This window comes from Homo sapiens, chromosome 11 (assembly GCF_000001405.40).
Source record: "Homo sapiens chromosome 11, GRCh38.p14 Primary Assembly".
NCBI lineage: Eukaryota > Metazoa > Chordata > Mammalia > Primates > Hominidae > Homo > Homo sapiens.
The window spans coordinates 130,351,369-130,372,139 of NC_000011.10; the positions used below are offsets into that span (position 1 = coordinate 130,351,369).

Here is a 20,771-nt window from a genome sequence, read left to right on the forward strand (position 1 = left end):
GTAAGTTCAGTGGCACCAAATACATTCAAATTGTTGTCCAACCATTACTACTAATCCTTTCCAGAACGTCACAATCCCAAACAGAAACTCATACCCGTTAAACAATGACTGTCCAGTTCACCCTCACTTAAGCTCCTAGTAATCACTATTCTATTGTCTGTTTCTATGAATTTGCCTATTCTTAGTAATATACAAGTGTAATCATACAATGTTTGGATTGGATCTGGTTATGTGGTCTTTTTGGGTCGGGTTTATTTTACTTAGCATAATATTTTCACGGTTCATCCAGGTTGTAGCATGTACCAGAATTTCATTCCTGTTTAAGGATAAGTAATATTCCATTGTGTGTATATATTACATTTTATTTATCTATTCAGTTTTTGATGGACACAGGTTTTTTTCTACATCTTGGCTATTGCAAAGAATGCTGCTATGAACACTGATGTACAAGTTATCTGTTTGAGTTTCTGCATTTAGTTCTTTTGTGTATATACCCAGAAATGAAATTGCTGGATATGTGATAACTCTAAGTTTCCCTTTTTGAGGAACCACCATACTGTTTTCCATAGTGGCTGCACCATTTTACATTTCTACCAGTCAATGCACAAGGTTTCCAATTTCTCCACCTTCTTGCCAACACTTGTTATTTTCCTTTTGTTTTAAATAATAGCTATTCTTTTTTTTTGAGACAGAGTCTCGCTCTGTCGCTCAGGCTGGAGTGCAGCGGTGCAATCTCAGCTCACTGCAAGCTCCGCCTCCCGGGTTCACGCCATTCTCCTGCCTCAGCCTCCCCAGTAGCTGGGACTGCAGGCACCCGCCACCACGCCTGGCTAATTTTTTGTATTTTTAGTAGAGACGGGGTTTCACCATGTTACCCAGGATGGTCTTGATCTCCTCACCTCGTGATCTGCCTGCCTCAGCCTCCCAAAGTGCTGGGGTTACAGGTGTGAGCCACCGCTCCCGGCCAATAATAGCTATTCTTTAAATGTGAAGTAGTATCTCCTTGTGGTGTCGATTTGCATTTCCCTAATGGCTGGTGATGTTGAGCATCTTTTCGTGTGTTTATTGACCAATTGTTTATCTTCTTTAGAGTAACGTCTATTTGAGTCTTTTACCTACTTCAAACAAATTTTGTTGTTATTGTTGAATCGTAGGAGTTTTACGAATAAGATGTATTCTGGATATTAATCCCTTCTCAGTTACATGACTTACAAATATTTTCTCCTTTTCTATGGGTTGCATTTTTGCTTTTTTCGTAGTTTTCTTTCTTTCTTTCTTTCTTTTTTTTCTTTTTCTTTTTTTTTTTTTTTTTGAGATGGAATCTTGTTCTGTTGCTCAGGCTGGAGTATAGTGGTGCAATCTCAGCTCACTGCAACCTCCACCTCCCAGGTTCAAGCAATTCTCGTGCCTCAGCCTCCCAGTATCTGGGACTACAGGTGCATGCCACCACACTTGGCTAATTTTTGTATTTTTAGTATAGATAGGGGTTTTACCATGTTGGCCAAACTGGTCTCGAACTCCTGACCTCAGGTGATCCACCCACCTCAACCTCTCAAAGTGCTGGGATTACAGGTGTAAGCCATCTCACCCAGCCCTTCATAGTTTTCTTTGATACACAAAATTTTTAAATTTTGATGAAGTCCGATTTATCTATTTTTTTTTCTTTTTTTGCCTGTGCTTTTCATGTCATATCCAAGAATTCATTGACAAATCCAATGTCATGAAGCTTTCCACTATGTTTTCTTTTCTTTTTTTCTTTGAGACGGAGTCTCACTCTGTCACCTAGGCTGGAGTGAGGTGGCGCAGTCTTGGCTCATGGCAACATCCGTCTCCTGGGTTCAAGCAATTCTCCTGCCTCAGCCTTCCAAGTAGCTAAGACTACCATGCCAGCTAATTTTTGCTGGCATATGCTACCATGCCAGCTAATTTTTGTATTTTTAATAGAGATGGGGTTTCACCAAGTTGGCCTGGCTGGTCTCAAACTCCTGACCTCAAGTGATCTGCCACTCTTCGCTTCCCAAAGTGTTGGGATTACAGGCATGAGCCACCACACCTGGCTCACTATGTTTTCTTTTGGGAGTTTTATAGTTTTATCTCTAATGTTTAGACTTTTGATCCATTTTGAGTCAATTTTCGCATATTGTGTAAGATAAGGGTGTAACTTCATTCTTTTGCATGTGAATATCCAGTTTTCCCAATATCATTTCTTGAAAACACTACTTTCTCCATTGAATGGCCTTGGCAACCCAGTTGAAAATTGTTTGATTGTATGTGCAGCAGGTTATTTCTGGGGTCTCTATTCTATTCCTTTGGTCTGTAGATCTGTCTTTATGGCAGTATCACACTGTGATGGTGTAGCACCATCAGAAAATGTGAGTTGAAAAATTTGTTATTTTTCAACATTGTTTTGGCTATTTGGGGTCCCTCGAGGCCCATATTAATTTTTAGGATGGATTGTTTTTATTTCTGCAAAAAACATTATTGGGATTTTGATAAAGATAGCATTGAATTGCTTTGGGTAATATTGACATATTAATTAAGGCTTCCAATCTATGAACATGGGATGTTTTTCCATTTACCTTTCGTTTCTTTCAGCAGCTTTTGTAGTTTTTCAGTGGACAAATCTTTCACCTCCTTGATTAATTTTATTCTAGGCATTTTATTCTTTTTGATGTTATCATAAATGCAATTGCTTTCTTAATTTCTTTTTCAGATTGCTCATTACTAATATGTAGAAATACAACTGATTTTTGAGTGTTGATTTTGTATCCTACAAGTTTTATGAATTTGTTTATTAGGTCTAACTGGTTTTTGGTAGAATATTTACTTTTTCCTACATTTCAGATTATGTCATCTGTAAACACAGATAATTTTACTTCAGTTGATTCAGTTTGGTTGCCTTTTATTTCTTTGTCCTGCCTCGTTGCTCTGGCTACAATTTCCAGTTTTGTTTTGAATAGAAGTGGCAAAACCAGGCATCCTTGTCTTATTCCTAATCTTGGAGGGAAAGCTTTTAGTCTTTTAGTATCAAGTATGATGTTAGCCATTGGTTTTTAATAATAGCTTTTATCAAGTTGAAAAGATTTCCTTTTATTCCTAGTTTATTGATTTTTTTAAATCATGAAAGGGTGTTGAATTTTGTCAAATGCTTTTTCTGCATCAATTGAGATGATCATGTGGTTTTCTTCTCCTTCATCCTGTTGATATGGTGTATTATACTGATTGATTTTTTGTGTGTTGAACTGTTCTTGCATTCTAGGAATAAAACCTACTTGGTAATGGTGTATAGCTCCTTATTAATATGCTACTGAATTTTTTGATAGTAGTTTGTTGAGGATTTCTGTGTCAATATTCATAGGGGACATTGATTTGTAGTTTTCTTTTTGTGTAGTGTCTTTGTATGGCTTTGATATGAGGGTAATGCTGGCCACATAGAATGAGATTTGTAAGTAGTTTCTTCTCTTCAATTCTTTTGAAGAGTTTGAGAAGGATTGCTATTAGTGCTTCTTAAGTATTTGGTAATATTCACCAGTGAAGCCAACTGATCCTGGGCTTTTTTTTTGTTAAGATGTTTTGATTACTAAGGCAATCTCCCTACTAGTTATAGTATTCTATTTCCTATTTCTTACATTTTCTATTTCTTCCTGAGTCAGTTTTGGTAGGTTGTGTATTTCTAGGAATCTGTCCACTTTATCTAGGTTACCCAGTGTGTGTTGGCAAACAGTTGTTCATAGAATTATCTTATAACCTTTTTCATTTCTTTCTTTTCTTTCTTTTTTCTTTTTTTTTTTTGAGATGGAGCATCACTCTTGTCGCCTAGGCTGGAGGGCAATGGCGCAGTCTCGACTCACTGCAACCTCTGCCTCCCAGGTTCAAGCGATTCTCTTGCCTCAGCCTCCTGAGTAGCTGGGATTACAGGCACACACCACCACACCCAGCTAATTTTTTTATTTTTAGTAGAAATGGTGTTTCACCTTGTTGGCCAGACCGGCCTCGAACTCCTGATATCAGGTGATCCACTTGCCTCGGCCAAAGTGCTGGGATTACCGATGTGAGCCACCGCGCCTGGCCAACCTTTTTCATTTCTGTAAAATCAGTAGTAATATCCCCACTTTTATTTATTTATTTATTTTTAAGTTGAGACAGGGTCTTACTTTATTGCCCAGGCTAGAGTGCAATGGCACCATCGGCTCACTGCAACCTCTGCCTCCTGGGTTCAAGCGATTCTCCCGCCTCAGCCTCCCAAGTAACTGGGGTTACAGGCATGTGCCACCACACCTGGCTAATTTTTTTATTTTTTGGTAGAGATGGTATTTTTTTGGTAGAGACAGGGTTTCACCATGTTGGCCAGGCTGGTCTTAAACTCCTGACCTCAGGTAATCTGCCCACCTCAGCCTCTCAAAGTGCTGAGATTACAGGTGCGAGCCACTGCAACTGGCCTCACACTTTTATTTCTGATTTTTGTAATATGAGTGTTCTGTCTCTTTTTCTTAGTCAATCTAGCTGAAGGTTTGTCAGTTCTGTCAATGTTTTCAAAGAACCGGCCTTTGGTTTTATTGATTTTCTGTATTGTTTTTCTATTCTATATTTTATTTAATCCCCTCTAATCTTTATTATTTCCTTCTTTCTGCTAGCATTTGGTTTAATTTGTGTCTTTTCTAGTTTCTTAAGATGTAAAGTTAGATTATTGATTGAAGACCTTTTTATTTTTATTTATTTTTTGTTTTGTTTTGTTTTTTGAGACAGAGTCTCGCTCTGTCACCAGGCTGGAGTGCAATGGTGCGATCTCGGCTGGCTGCAACCTCTGCCTCCCAGGTTCAAGCGATCCTCCTGCCTCAGCCTCCCGAGTAGCTGGGACTATGGGTGTGCACTACTACACCCAGCTAATTTTTGTATTTTCAGTAGAGACAGGGTTTCACCATGTTGGCCAGGATGGTCTCGATCTCTTGACCTCCTGATCCGCCCACCTCGGCCTCCCAAAGTGCTGGGATTACAGGCGTGAGCCACCGCGCCCAGCCTAAGACCTTTTTAAAAGAATAGGTTTACAGCTGCATATTCCCTCTTAGCACTGCTTTCACTACATCCCATAAGTTTTGGTATGTTGTGTTTTTATTTTCATTTGTCTTAAAGTTATTTTCTAATTCATTTTGTCATATCTTCATTGGCCCATTGGTTGTTTAAAAGTATATTGTTGAATTTCCACATATTTTTGTTATTTCTAGTTTCATTTCATTGTGATGAATGGACACCTTGCATAATTTAAATCTTAAGATTTATTAAGAATTTTCTGGCTAAATACAGTGGCTTATACCTGTAATCCCAGCACTTTAGAAGGCTGAGGTGGGAGGATTGCTTGAGCCCAGTTCAAGACCAGCCTGGGGCCGGGCGTGGTGGCTCATGCCTGTTATACCAGCACTTTGGGAGGCCGAGCCAGGTGGATCAACTGAGGTCAGGAGTTCCAGACTAGCCTAGCCAACATGGTGAAACCCGGTCTCTACTAAAAATACAAAAATTAGCTGGGTGTGGTGGTGCGTGCCTGTAGTCCCAGCTACTCGGGAGGCTGAGGCAAGAGAATCACTCAAACCTCGGAGGCGGCAGTTGCAGTGAGCCAGGATTGTACCATTGCACTCCAGCCTGGGCGACAAGAGTGAAACTCCATCTAGGAAAAAACAAAATGAAACAGAAAAACCAGCCTGGGCAACATAGTGGAACCCTGCCTGTATTTAAAAAAAAAAAAAAATTAGCTGTGCATGGTGGTGTGCGGCTGTTGTCTGAGCTACTTGGGAGACTGAGGTAGGAGGATTGCTTGAGCCTAGGATTTTGAGGCTGCAATAAGCTGTGATTATGCCACTGTACTCCAGCCTGGATGACAGAGTAAGAGCCTGTTTCAAAGAAATTTTTTTTCCTAGAGTTCTCTAAAGCCTAAAATAAAATTTCTTTTTTTTTTTTTTTTTTTGTGACAGAGTCTCACTCTGTCGCCCAGGCTGGAGTGCAGTGGCGCAATCTCAGCTCATTGCAAGCTCCGCCTCCTGGGTTCACACCATTCTCCTGCCTCAGCCTCCCGAGTAGCTGGGACTACAGGCGCCAGCCACCATGCCCGGCTAATTTTTTGTATTTTTAGTAGAGACGGGGTTTCACCATGTTAGCCAGGATGGTCTGGATCTCCTGACCTCATGATCCGCCCGCCTCAGCCTCCCAAAGTGCTGGGATTACAGGCGTGAGCCACCATGCCCAGCCTAAAATAAAATTTCTTTAAAAATTGTTTTGCTGCCTAAAATATGGTCTATCCTAGTGGTATAGTTTGGATGTTTGTCCATCTAAACCTTATGTTGAAATATTATCCCAATGTAGGATGTGGGGGCCTAATTTAATAATCCCCTCAGCAGTGAGTGAGTTATTGCTGAAATAATTAATTCCTGCTGCTTGTACAAAGAGCCTGGTACTGTGGCACCCCACCTTGCTTTCACTCTTCCCATGTGATTACTGCATACACTAGCTCCCCTTTGCCTTCCACCATGAGTGGAAGCAGCCTGAGGCTCTCACCAGATGCCTTCCAATCAGCAGAATTGTGAACCAAATAAACTCTTTTTCTTCATAAATTACCCAGTCTCAAGTTTTTTAAAAAATAGCAACACAAAATAGACTAAGACTTCTAGAGAATGTTCCGTGCACACTTGAGAAAAATGTGTATTCTGCTGTTGCTGGATGGAGTTTTCTGTAAATGTTTGTAGATCTAGTTGTTTTATAGTGGTGTTCAAGTTTTCTGTTGGATCTTTATTGGTCTTATCCTTATTGATCTTCTGTCTGGTCATTCTATCCATTATTGAAAGTGGGATATTTTAGTCTCTAATTATTATTGTGGGACTGACTATTTCTCTGTTTGATTCTGTCAATTTACTTTATATATTTGGTGTCTCTGTTGGTTCCTTCATATATATTTATAATTGTATATCTTCTTGATGAATTGATCCTTCATCAATATATAATCTCTTTCTTTGTCTCTTGAAACAGTCTTCAAGTTAACATCTAGTTTGTCTGTTATTAGTATAGCCATCCCAGCTTTCTTTTGATTACTATTTGCATGAAACATCTTCTTCCACCATTTTACCTTCAAACTTGTGCTTTTAGATCTAAAATGAGCCTCCTGTAGACAGCACATAGTTGCATTGTATTTTTTAATTCATTCTGCTAATCTCTTTTGATTGAAGAGTTTAATCCATTTACATTTAATGTAATTACTAAGAAAGGACTTCTGTCATTTTGTTATTTGTTTTCTCTATGTTTCTAGCTTTTTTGTTTCTAATTACTCCATTGCTGCTTTCTTTTGTGTTTAGTTGATTTTTCTTAGTGACATGTTTTGACTCCCTTCTCATTTCCTTTTGTATATATTCTATAGATATAATTTTGTGACTACTATAGTGAATACATATAAGATCCTAAAGTTATAACAATGTAATTTGAATCAATGCCAACTTAACTTCAATTGAGTACAAAAATTCTACTCCTATACAGCTCTGCTCTCCCCTCTCACTTTATGTTATTGATGTCCTGAATTACATCTTTATATTGTGTACTTATATTAGTTTCCTAGGGCTGCTGTAACAAATGGTCACAAATTGGGTGACTTAAACAAGAAAAACTTATTGTCTCACAATTTGGGAGGCTAAAAGTCTGAGATCAACATGTCAGTAGGGTTGCATCTTTCTGAGGTGGTAAGAGAATATGTTCTATGCTTCTCATCTAGCTTCCGGTACTTCTGGAAAAATTTGAAATTCTTTGACTTGTAGAAATGTTATCCTAATCTCTGATTTCATCTTCTTATGTCATTCTGTCTGTCTCCAAATTTTCCCTCTTTATAAGGACACCAATGATATTGGATTAGGGGTCACCCCACTTTATTATTACCTCATCTTAACTAATTGTATCTGCAATGGCTTTATTTCCAAATAAGGTCACATTCTGGGGTACTGAGGGTTAGGATTTCAACATACGAATTTTGAAGGGACATAAATCAACTCACAGCATTGTTTAATGATACAGCTTTATAATAATTTTTAAATGTATTTTCTCTTTTAAATCCTTTAGCAGAGCTCTTTACTTCTTCATAAAGCTTTAAGTTACATCTAACACTCTTTAATTTTGACCCAAAAGGACTTCCCTTTTCATTTCTTGTGGGGGCAAGTCTAAATGGTAATAAATTCTGTTGGCTTTTGTTTATCTGAAAATGTCTTAACTGCTTCCTCATTTTGAAGGAACATTTTGCCAGATATATAATTCTTGGTTGACAGTTCTTTGTCTTTCACCATTTTAAATGTCATCCCACATCCTTCCTATCTCCAGTGTTTCTGATGAAAAATTCAGTGATACTCTTTTTTTTTCTTTTTGTGTTAGTAAAAATCTCACAATTGTGGCATTTTCACTGAAGATTCCTTACTGAGTTGCATCTCTCTTGCTGTTTTCAAGACTCTTTCTTTGTCTTTTGATGGATTGATTATAATGTGTCTTGGTGTGGATCTTTTTGAGCTTATCATACTTGAAGTTTTTTGGCTTCTTGGAGTTGTTGATGTGTGTCTTTTATGAAATTTGGGGTGTTTTGGCCAAGATTTCTTCAATACCTTTCTTCCCCTTTTTCTCTCTCTTCTCTTTCTGAGATCTCCATAATACATATATTAGGCTGCTTCATGGTGAGCCATAGTTCCCTCAGACTCTATTCATTTTCCTTCATTCTTTTTTCTTTCTGTTCTTCAGACTTTATAATTCTAATTGTCCTTGTCTCAAGTTTGCTAATTCTTTCTTCTACTTGTTCAAATTAGCTGTTGAATCTCTGGTGAATATTTATTTCAATTTTTAGTTTTCAACTACAGAATTTCTTTTTTTTTTTTTTGAGATGGAGTCTTGCTCTGTTACCCAGGCTGGAGAGCAGTGGTGCAATCTCGGCTCACTGCAACCTCTGCCTCCTGGGTTCAAGCAATTCTCCTGCCTCAGCCTCCCAAGTAGCTGGGACTACAGTGTGTACCACCATGCCCAGCTAATTTTTTTATTTTTAGTAGAGACAGGGTTTTACCATGTTAGCCAGGCTGGTCTTGAACTCCTGACCTCAAGTGATCTGCCCGCCTTGGCCTCCCAAATTGCTGGGATTACAGCCATGAGTCACTGTGCCTGGCCAGAATTTCTGTTTGGTTTCTTTTTATAATTTCTATATCTTTGTTGATATTCTCATTTTGTTCATATGTCTTTTGTCTTAGTCTGTTTGGGCTAGTTTAACAAAATACCATGAACTGCGTAGCTTATAAACAACAACAACAGAAATTTATTTTTCACAGTTCTGGAGACTGGGAAGTTCAAGATCAAGGAGGCAAATCAAGATCAAATCAAGGAGATTTGCTGCCTGGTGAGGACCTGTTTCCTGGTTCATTGACAGCCATCCTTTTACTGTGTTTTCAGAGGACAGCATGGCTAAGAGGCCTTTTTTTTTTTCTTTTTTTTTTGAGATGGAGTTTCGCTCTTGTTGCCCAGGCTGGAGTGCAATGGCGCAATCTTCGCTCACCACAACCTCTGCCTCCCAGGTTCAAATAATTCTCCTGCTCAGCCTCCCGAGTAGCTAGGATTACAGGCATGCGCCACCATGCTCAGCTAATTTTGTATTTTTAGTAGAGACAAGGTGTCTCCATGTTGGTTAGGCTGGTCTCAAACTCCCGACCTCAGGTGATCCTCCTGCCTCAGCCTCCCAAAGTGCTGGGGTTACAGGCGTGAGCCACTGTGCCCAGCCAAGAGGCCACTTTTATAAGGAAATTTGTCATAATTACCGAATTACCTCCCAAAGGCCTCCCTTCCTAAGATCTTGGAGGTTAGGATTTTAACATATGAATTTTGGGTAGACACAAATATTCAAACCAAAGCATTCTTTTCCTGATTTCCTTTACTTCTTTTTTCTTTAGGTTTTCTTGTTTTAAATCATGTAGAGTTTTGTCTAAGTCTGAAGTCTGGGTTTCCTCAGGAATGGCTCCTGTCAATTTATTTTGTTGTTTTGAATGAGTCGTATTTTCCTGTTTCTTTGTATACTTTGTGATTTTTCAAATTGGGCAAATGCCCAATCATTATAATATGGTAATTCTGGAAAGGACTTTTTTCCCTTTGTCCAGGGTTTGCTGTTTTCTTTTTCTTTTTCTTTTTTCGTTGTTGAAGGCTGTAATAGTCTGTTAGTTTTGAGAGTTTTCTTAACTATTTTTGCAGAGGCTATTGTGTTGGATCACTGAAATCTCTGTTCCATTAGCTTATGTTTAGTTAATGCTTTAACAAAGATTAAACAACAATGTTGTTTAAATGCCAGCAGTTTTGTCAGTGTTTGTAGATTGGCCTTGTCCTAGGGCATTCTTTTCTTTTCTTTTTTTTTTTTTTGAGACAAAGTCTTGCTCTGTTGCCCAGGCTGGAGTGCAGTGGTGCGACCTTGGCTCACTGCAACCTCTGCCTCCCAGGTTCAAGCAATTCTCCTGCCTCAGCCTCCCGAGTAGCTGGGACTACAGGCACGTACTACCACGCCCGACTAATTTTTTGTATTTTTAGTAGAGACAGGGTTTCACCGGGTTAGCCAGGATGTTCTCGATCTCTTGACTTTGTGATCTGCCGGCCTTAGCCTTCCAAAGTGCTGGGATTACAGGCGTGAGCCACTGTGCCCGGCCAGTCCTAGGGCATTCTTTTAACACTTAGCTAAGCTTGTTTTGTGCCTAGGGATCAGGCACAAAGCTTCGAGGTGGAAGCTTAAGGTCTTCTCAGGTCTTTTCTGAGCATGCATCTTGCATGGACATGCACATGGCTTCCTAAATTCTCTCATATATATGGCTGCTTTTGAACGTCTGAATTAGTTAGTCGTACTGCAGCTTCTCCTCTGGGGTTTAGATGGTCTGTTATATATCTTCACCTGTAATTTTTTGTCCCAGGAGTCTGTGGATCTGCAGTCGCCTTGCAGGTTTTATGAGTAGTGCCTACCACTTTTTTCACCTGAGTTCTGAGTTAGGCAAAACAGAGACTATCTCTTTGTTTCAGTTTTTCAAGTATCTGCCAGAACAGACATACATAGTAATTTGTGAACAAGATCTGCTATGCTCCTTCTGGTTCAAGAAAGGGTACTGGGAACTAGGCTGTTGCCAGTTCAAGACCAAAACCACATAATGGAGAAGGGTGGGGTAAGACTCAGTAATAAATAATGTCAGAAAACTTTCCTACCATTTTGAAGATGGCTTTTTCTTTTTATTTCTTTTTTTTTTTTTTTTTTGAGACGGAGTCTTGCACTGTCACCCAGGCTGGAATGCAGTGGCGTGATCTCCTCTCACTGCAAGCTCCACCTGCCGGGTTCACGCCTTTCTCCTGCCTCAGCCTCCCGAGTAGCTGGGACTACGGGTGCCCGCCACCATACCCGGCTAATTTTTTGTATTTTTAGTAGAGACGGGGTTTCACCGTGTTAGCCAGGATGGTCTTGATCTCCTGACCTCGTGATCCACCCGCCTTGGCCTCACAAAGCACTGGGATTACAGGCGTGAGCCACTGCGCCTGGCTGGCTTTTTCTTGATTGGACATTTGCTTGGTGGCTGTCAACTTTGTTTTCCAGAGTTCTGATAAAGTTGGTTCAAAGAGTTTCTGCTTCTTTTCCCCTCATATGTTTCTGTGGGGAAATAAAAGCTTCACCCTTCCTAGCCTGCCATTTTGCTGATATTCTCTTCAACAGAGTTTTGCCTTCACTTGGACTTTCACCAAAGGGCAGCAGAGGACTCGGCATGTAACCTAAATGAAGGTGTGTGCAATCACAATATAACGGTGGGAACAGAGACACTCTTGGCCACTGTAAAGAAACTTGGAATAGGAACTTGGGTGGAGAGTTGGGATTTTATAGATGAGGAATCTAGGAGGATATTGAATGACAGTTGAGAACAGAGAAGCTTATAAAACAAAGTTTTGTCCAGGTAGTAAATTGCTTGGGGAGCTTGTGCTTGCTGACAGTAAGGGACAGCTGCAATTACATGCTATGAATGGTTGGGTCTGATTTCTGGTTGCAAATTAATTCTAGCTTATGAAGGATCCTGAGCAATGCCAAAAGTGACCAAGTAGAAGAATATGTGAAAAGAATGAGATGACTGGTTCTGGTATTAAACTAGAGCCTCTCCTCAGGGTTCAGAGAACCTGTCTAATTTACTGTATTCCTTATGGCACCTTACATATCAGCTTGTTTCACCCTGCCTGTGCTTGCCAGTCATATCTCAGAAGTGACTGGGGGAGGTAAGCCTCTGGTGATTGTCTCCATTTCTCCATCACTGCACTCTTTTCCCCATCAGCAGTGTCCCCTGCTTCTCCTCTTAGTGTTCTTTTCTACTACTTATCCTCCTTTGCCTCCTACTTCCTCTGAGGAAATATGCTCCAAATAAATAATCTGCTGAATGAATTCACACTAAGGTGGGCATGGTCAATAAAACTTGAGTGTAAACCTTCCCAGGGGCTACTTGCATTTTAATAGAAGCTTACATTTCAAGAAAAAAGAAAAAAAGTTCTAATTATGAAACTCCACATGCTAGCTGTTTCATAGGAAAGAGACTTTTTAGAGGACCTGGTCCCAACTCAGAATTTCTGTTTTCCAGGTACAATCTAATCCAAAAGGTCAAGATAAGGACATTCTAAATCAAAAAAGAGCTTTAGAAAACCAACATTTTCCTCCCGATATGAAAAGAAGATCTGGGGCTGATTTGAGCTGTGATATCGTTGGATAATGACCTTTTACACCTTTCCAGCCAAAGACACCAGGGATAAAACCAAGACCTTGCCATATTGAGAAGTTAGGCCAGGGGGATTTTCACCTTGCTACAGAAAAAGAAAGGCTGATGAGCAGGAATAGAACAGATCTAATTTAGGATCTTGGCTATTTAGAGGCTAATAAGCAGGCTCCATATGTTTATATGGCCTTTCTTCCTACTCATTGTTAGAAAATCTTCTTTGGGAAACAGTGTACCAAGTGGGGAGGTGCCAATGCTAGAAGAATGGGTACCAGAAAATAAGAGCAATAAGAGCTAAGAGTGGGAAATACATATCACCATGATTGATTTAACCTCTCCCGGCCTCTGTTCTTTCATCTGTAGTGTGGGAACAACACTATCTACTGAAGACAGTTAGAACCCTTTTTCTTTAATAGAGATGTGGTCTTGCTATATTGCCCAGGCTGGTCTCGAACTCCTAGCCTCAAGTGATCCTCCCACCTCGGCCTCCCAAAATGTTGGGATTACAGGCATGAGCCACCACACCTAGCCTTTCAGAATTTTGAATAATGATTAGGAAGACCTTCCCCATTCCAAGATTATAAGACTCCTCCCATGTTTTCTTCTAATACTTTTATGGTTTCATTTTTACATTTAGATCTTTTTCCATTTGGATCATATCCTTGTGTATGGTGGGAGGTGGGGCTCCTACTTTCATGTGTTTCCAGAGGCCTATCCCGTTTCCTTACAACATGTGTTGAACAGTCCATCTTTCCCCACTGATTTGTAAAGCCATCTTTAAAGGATGCAGCTTAAAGAAAATTAATGGCCAAAGTATTTATCATTATTGGAGAGATACATTAGAATTATTCTTGTAGTTTATAAAGAGCTTCCCTGTGCCTGTCTCATTTTATTTTTTGTTTTTGTTTATTTGTTTTTGGACTGCCCATGCCTGGAGAACATAGTGGGACTCCATCTCTACAAAAAAATTAAAAAATTAGCTGGGCATGGTAGCGAGTGCCTGTAGTCCCAGCTACTCAGGAAGCGGAGGTGGGAGGACTGCTTGAACCCAGGACGTCAAGGGTGCAATGTGCCATGATTGAGCCACGAAACTCCAACCTGGGCAAGAGAATGAGAACCTGCCTGAAAAACAAAAACAAAAACACACAATCAAAATTCTGAGCCCATAAAAAATATGATTGATAAGTGTAACTGCATCAAAATTAAAGTTTTTGTATGGTGAAAAACATCATTAGAAAGAAAGTAAAAAAACAAACAAACAAAAAAAGAAAGAAAGTCAAAAGGCAATCAAGGCAATCAACAAACTGGGAAAAAAAGGTGCATTGGAGCTGGCCTGCACTTATATGAGCTGATTGTTACGTTTTCAGGAATTTTGCAAGCTGGTTGTCACAGTTATTATTAAAAATTAAATTATAGAAACTTTAAAGTATGTTAGAATCAAAAGTAATAAATACTGAAAAACTCATCACTTCCTAATTATTTAACTACATTTTGCTATCATTAATGCTTGAGGTTTATTGTTTTTTGTTTTTTTTTTTTTTGAGATGGAGTCTCACTCTGTTGCCCAGCTGGAGTGCAGTGGCATGACCTTGGCTCACTGCGTCTTCCGCCTCCTGGGTTCAAGCAATTCTCCTGCCTCAGCCTCCCAAGTAGCTGGATTACAGGTATGTGCCACCATGCCTGGCTAATTTTTGTATATTTAATAGAGACAGGGTTTCACCATGTTGGCCAGGCTGGTCTTGAACTCCTGACCTCATGTAATCCACCCGCCTCGGCCTCCCAAAGTGCTGGGATTACGGGTGTAAGCCACCGCGCCTGGCCACATCTATTGTTGTGTTTGTGTTGTACAAATACAAATGTGTATTTGTATTGTATTGTGTATATAATTGTGTGCTGCTGCACATTTCTTCTGAACTCCACATTCAGTGACATAATGTCGGTAGCTTGAAATTGTCCATCATGGGGCTATTTACACAATGGAAATTGGCAAGTGCTATAAAGCTGAGTTCATTTTTCCCAGAGAGCCATTGTTATTTACCAACACACCACTGGAAAAAAGTGTTTGCAACATGCATGACAAAGAAAAGGCTAATCTCTATACAACGTGCTCCTATAAGCCAAGTATTGAAAGACTACTAACGTAATATAAACATAAGAAATGTATGAATAGTCCATTCCTAGAAATGAAAAGGTGTTCTGCCTCACAGCAAGAGAAACACAAAGCAGAACCGTACTGAGATGTGATTTTTAACCTATGATGGGCAAAAGTTTAAGTAAGTTTGATAAAACTATTGGCAAGGCTGTGGGGAAACAGGGATTCTTTTACCTTACTGCTGTGCATATAGATTACTAAAGCCCCTTTGGAGGCAATTTGGTTATATGTTTGCATATGTAAGTAAAATTACCTGCAGGCACAGTGGCTCCTGCCTATAATCCCAGGGCTTTGGGAGGGTGAGGCAGGGGGAGCGCATGAGGCCAGGACCTCAAGACCACCCTGGGTGTCTCTAGAAAAAATATAAAAAATTAGCCAGGTGGTGGCATGTGCCTGTAGTCCCAACTACTTTGGAGGCTGAGGCAGGAGGATCACTTGAGCCCAGGAATTTGAGGTTACAATGAGCTATGATCATAACACTGCTCTCCAGCCTGGGTGACAGAGTGAGACCCAGTCTCTCATAATAATAATAGTAATAAACCAAAATTACAAGTCCGTGGACTCTTTGACCCAGCAATTCTGTTTTTGAGAACTTATGCTATCTTTTTTTTTTTTTTTTTGAGACGTAGTCTCACTCTGTCGCCCAGGCTGGAGTGCAGTGGCATGATCTTGGCTTCACTGCAACCTCTGCCTCCTGGATTCAAGCAATTTTCCTGCCTCAGCCTCCCTAATAGCTGGGATTACAGGCACCTGCCACCACGCCTAGATAATTTTTGTATTTTTAGTAGAGATGGGGTTTCACCATGTTGGTCAGGCTGGTCTCGAACTCCTGACCTCAAATGATCCACCCACCTCGACCTCCCAAATTGCTGGGATTACAGGCGTGAGCCACTGTGCCCGGCCTAGACCTTTGTTTTTTGATAGAATTGGAAACAACACAGATGTCCATCCATATTGTCTGGTTTAATAAATTTTGGAATGCCCATGCAAATGGAAATAACGAGAACTGTAAAAATAATGGAACATGGCCGGGTGCGGTGGCTCACGCCTGTAATCCCAGCACTTTGGGAGGCCGAGGCGGGCGGATCACCTGAGGTCAGGAGTTCGAGACCAGCCTGACCAACATGGAGAAACCCCATCTCTACTAAAAATACAAAATTAGCCGGGCATGGTGGCGCATGCCTGTAAGCCCAGCTACTCAGGAGGCTGAGGCAGGAGAATCGCTTGTACCTGGGAGGCAGAGGTTGCAGTGAGCCGAGATTGCTCCATTGCATTCCAGCCTGGGCAACAAGAGCGAAACTCCATCTCAAAATAAATAAATAAATAAATAAATAAAATAATGGAAGGCACTCTCCACGTTGAGTGTGGAAAAATTTCAAAGTTACGTTATTAAGTGAAAAAGCAAGGTTAATATCAAAGTGTTGTGTTATCTTTTGCATAATAAAAATAAAAATCTATTTGTATTTGATTTGCATAAACAAAATCTGGAAGGATAAATAAGAGACTACTAATGAAAATGGTTAAGTGGGGAGTCCGATGTGCAGGATGTGGGAACTGGATGGGTAGGGAATGAGATAAGATCAAGACTTGGCAACATCATTTTGGACTAAAATGTTGAGCTATGTCAACATATTATCTTTTTATAAAATTAAATGAAATAAAAGAAACTTCGTTAGAGACCATTTGATTGTTCAGTTCACTGGTCACTCAATACACAGTTATTGAGCATCTACCATGTGGCAGGCACTGTTCCAGGAACTGTGCCCAGAAGACAGGCACCAGATTATACAAGTCGTGATCTACTTAAAGCTCAAGAGTTTGTGTCTTTAATCACAGAAACCACCCTTTGAATGCCACAGATTCCATTATGCCCACCCAATAGTTTCCTCCCAACCCATCCAGTCTCTTATCCATGACCTCACCATGGTAACAATATCCCCCATGGCCATTCAGATCTAGTAACAATTTAATGTTTGTCTTTTCTGTGTATGTTTTGTGTGTATATTTTTACATCTTGATTGTCTTTCTTTTTTTGAGCATGTTGTTCCATCTGGTTGGTAGAATATGATATGAAAAGGTCAGGACTTTAATTTTATGGACCATTTAGCTTCATTTGGAATGAGAATAAAGCTCCCATGACGAGAGATTTACCCGTCAATCTGAGCCAGAGGCTTAGCAGATGTCGGCACGTCCTCGATCACTGGAGGTCAGAGCAGGAGATCCTAGATGGTTTGCTCCCTTCAAACCTATTATCATTACCAGGAATGTCATCAGTAGAACACAACTTTTAGATAGTTTGGCAGAGGTATTATATTCGTAAATAAAAGTAAATATGTCTGTGTGGGTGCACTTGTGTATGCATGTGTGATGTTTTGCAATCTCCTTGAGGGCAGCAGAAACAATGATGAAACGTACAAGCATAATCCCAGAAATTGACAAAGCACATTCCCTCACATCTTTCATGTCTGCGTTCATATACCATCTTCTCAGAAAGCCTTTCCCTGACCACCACTAGAAAGTAACTCACCTGAATTTTTGTCTGTTTTGTCCACTCTTGCACTCTCTTTCATCCTAGCTCTTACTGTATTTTTTCCTTTTTTGCAATTGCTTACTAGATGGTGAGCTCCTTAGAGGGAAGTATAGTACATATTTCCTCCATGTCTCCAGTACCCAACACAGTGCCTGACGTTGAGAGGGCTCTTAATAAGTGTTTGTGAAAGACTGGTAGAGCAATGCCCTATGAAACAAGAAGCTGGATAACACTGTAAGTATTTCTTTGGTTTGGGGGAATTGGAGTCTAAAGGGCATGCTTTGTTTTCCGGTTGGGTGGGCTGGTGTACTGCTGGGTGTTTTTGGTAAATGTGAAGATTTCCTCCTGCCTAGTTAGCCTGCACTCTGCATGCATGCCATACACAAGGCAGCTGGCTCACCACAGTGGACTGTGACAGTTCACAGCTCCCTGCCAGCCAGTTAGACTGTCCCATCAATCTGTCCCAGAAGCTCCCACACCCTCTCATCTGACAGTAATTCAATCCTTTCCTTGGATTTCTCTGATCACCCGCCCTGTGTTCTTCTCTCTCCTGTCCCTTGCTGTCTGAGCTGCTCAGACTTCAGCAGCCATATGGACTAAAGCAAAAGTGAGTTCATCCACAGAGCATGTGCTTGGGCAGCCAAGTCCTCCAGGTTTGAATAAAATGACCCAACGCATTTGGTATTCACTGGGCAGTCACACAGGGACATGTCCATTCTAGGATGTCCCTCATAAAGGCCAGATGCTGCCTCAGCCAGATTCGCCTAAGTTCTTTGATTGGGACTCCTGGTGGCAGGCATGGGAGGTCAAACTCCTTCCACTTTCCCGTCCTATCCGCGCCTCCCAATTCCTCATTCTCCTAACCACTGGTTTTGCCTTAATGATGAATTCCAACAAGAATTCCCATTCCCAATTCCATTTGGATTCTTCCCAAAGTGAAATCCCTCACCTGGTCTATAGCTGCAAATTGAAAAGACTCAAATTATGGCTTTTATAGACAACGTACTACTGTATTTCTTGGGGGCAAAGAACTGGCACTGGCTAATGAGTTATATTCCAATGTACAATGCCCTCTGATTGTGTATTATATATTAGCACTCTGGGATTGAAAGAGACAATTGTGTCGTGTTTGCCCATTAATCGGGAATACTCATCTCAGCTGCGCTGTGTTGCATGCCAGCCAAACTTGTCATTCTCATACCCAACAGCTTTTAATTGTTGTGTTGCCCTTTCATGGTAACCTTTCTCAGAGTTTGGAGAGCAAAAACAGAGTCCTACCTAAATATCAGCTCCTTCCCACTCTGAGAAAAAAAAAGAATCCATTTAGATGGAAAGGATTTGGGTTTTCTCATTCCCAGAGGCTGACAATGCTTCAGCGATTTCCAGTACCCAGCAAGTCTAAATGCTAGCTATGGGATTGCTTCTTCTAGTAAAGTTAGGAAATATATCATACAAGAAAAGGGCTCCCATGACCTCACAGTAAGCTGGAGACTAAAATAGAAGAAATGCCTTAAAAATCATTGTCGAGACCCAATTCAATGCAAGTAACAGAAAAATCTAAATCAAACTGTCTTAGGTGAACATTTTTATTCACTCATATAACTGAAAAGACCCGGGATAGTAGTGCTTCAGCCTATCTAGATTCAGGGCTTGAAAATCTCTTCAAGACTTGGTCCCATCCTTGCCACATGTTTGCTCTTCTGTTGCCATATAAACTTCTGGTCAAGGGAGCTTTATTCTCCTTCTTGCCCATCTTGTGGCAAGATTGCGGCCAGCAGGTCAGTGGCAGGCTCTGAGCTCTAGTGGAAGTCCCAAGATTGAGTCTCACTGGACTAGTTTGGCTCATGGTTCTTGTTCTGAGCCAATCACGTTGCCCACGGGGAATGGAGCCTGAAAATTGGCCAGACGTAGGTCACTCTTGCCCCTAGACATGGAAGGGTTAAATCCATCCACCCAAACCACGAAAACTGCAATGAGAGGTGGTGGTGGTTCTCCAGGAAAATCCACGGGCTGTTACCAGAAAAATGGGGAACAGATGCTGAACAAGCAAGAAAAACAGAGGTACTGTCTCTTCATCTCAGCTTCAAGAATGAAGGTTGAATGTGTTTGTAGGTTGGTAATGTAAGTTAATGTCTTCTCCCAGAACCCTGTCCAGAATAAAGAGTACCGTTTACTGAGTGCTGGGCCCTGTGCCCAGTGTGGTACGTCCTTTCATTTAATCCTTACGCCTGCCCTGCCCTATGATGGGCCCCCGTTTCTAAATAAGGGAAGGAGGCATAAGGAGATTAAATGTCATGCTTGAAGCTACACAACTGCTAAAGACTGAGTCGTTATTTAACCGTGGTCTGACTGCAAAGCCCATGTTTATTCTCCTTTTGTGTATTTCCCAAACTTGCCTATTCACAAGACTCTCTGGGGGGTGTTTGTGAAAAACACAGGTTCTCAGGCGCTCCTCCTGGGAGATTCTGATTCAGAAAGTCTGGGCAGAAGTCTGAGCATCTCTTTTAACAGGTGTGCTCAGTAATCCTTATAATTAGACAAGGTTGAAAATGCATAATATACTGCCTCCCACAGGTTAAAAAATAGCTGACACGGCCTTTGCACAAACCTATCCCCCTTTCTCTGCTCTTCCTTTCCCGACAGAAGACCTGAGGGGATTGCTGGCATTGCTGTAGCTGCCCATCATGTTTACTCCACTCTCTAGAATGGTGCTCTGCAAAGATGGGGTGCATAAGAGGTCCAACCGATGTATGGGAGGCAATGTTTCTTTTCTGTCTATTTCTATTTAATTTTTACCCTAAAAGAAAAAAAAATTCAGCTTTACAAAGATTTAATATCCAAACTAACACTAGTATTCTTTTTTTTTTTTTTTTTTTTGAGACGGAGTCTTGCTTTCTCACCCAGGCTGGAGTGCAGTGGTGCAATCTCGGCTGACTGCAACCTCTGCCTCCTGGGTTCAAGCGATTCTCTTGTCTCAGCCTCCTGAGTAGCTGGGACTACAGATGTGCACCACCATGCCCGGCTAATTTTTTTTTTTGTTTGTATTTTTAGTACATACGGCGTTTCACCTCGTTAGCCAGGATGGTCTCGATCTCCTGCCCTCGTGATCTGCCCGCCTGGGCCTCCCAAAGTGCTGGGATTACAGGCGTGAGCCACCGCTCCCGGACAACACTAGTATTCTTACTCAATCATGAGCCCAGGGCCATATATGGTGCCTGAGGTGAGAAGAGTATCCCACAATAGGGGGGATAATGGTGCTCCCACTCATTTGTGAGCTTCCAGGCAATTGATAATTTATCTGTATTGAAATGAAATTACAGATTATTTATTC

The 20,771-nt window shown here is 40.8% G+C and overlaps 1 long non-coding RNA gene across 1 annotated transcript in view, besides 1 other annotated feature; it reads left to right on the forward strand.

Moving 5' to 3' along the window:
* Positions 1–20,771, forward strand: part of ZBTB44-DT (ZBTB44 divergent transcript) — an 88,665-nt gene that overhangs the window by 36,376 nt on the left and 31,518 nt on the right. The window contains exon 2 of the long non-coding RNA NR_148980.1: positions 17,526–17,674. This is a non-coding gene — a long non-coding RNA (ZBTB44 divergent transcript). The remainder of the gene's footprint in view (positions 1–17,525; positions 17,675–20,771) is intronic.
* Positions 19,529–20,030: an enhancer, noted in NCBI's record as "NANOG hESC enhancer chr11:130240792-130241293 (GRCh37/hg19 assembly coordinates)". NCBI's record gives its function as "activates a minimal SCP1, AML or CMV promoter by ChIP-STARR-seq in primed H9 embryonic stem cells {active_cell/tissue: H9 hESC(primed)}" and the evidence as "EXISTENCE:reporter gene assay evidence [ECO:0000049][PMID:30033119]".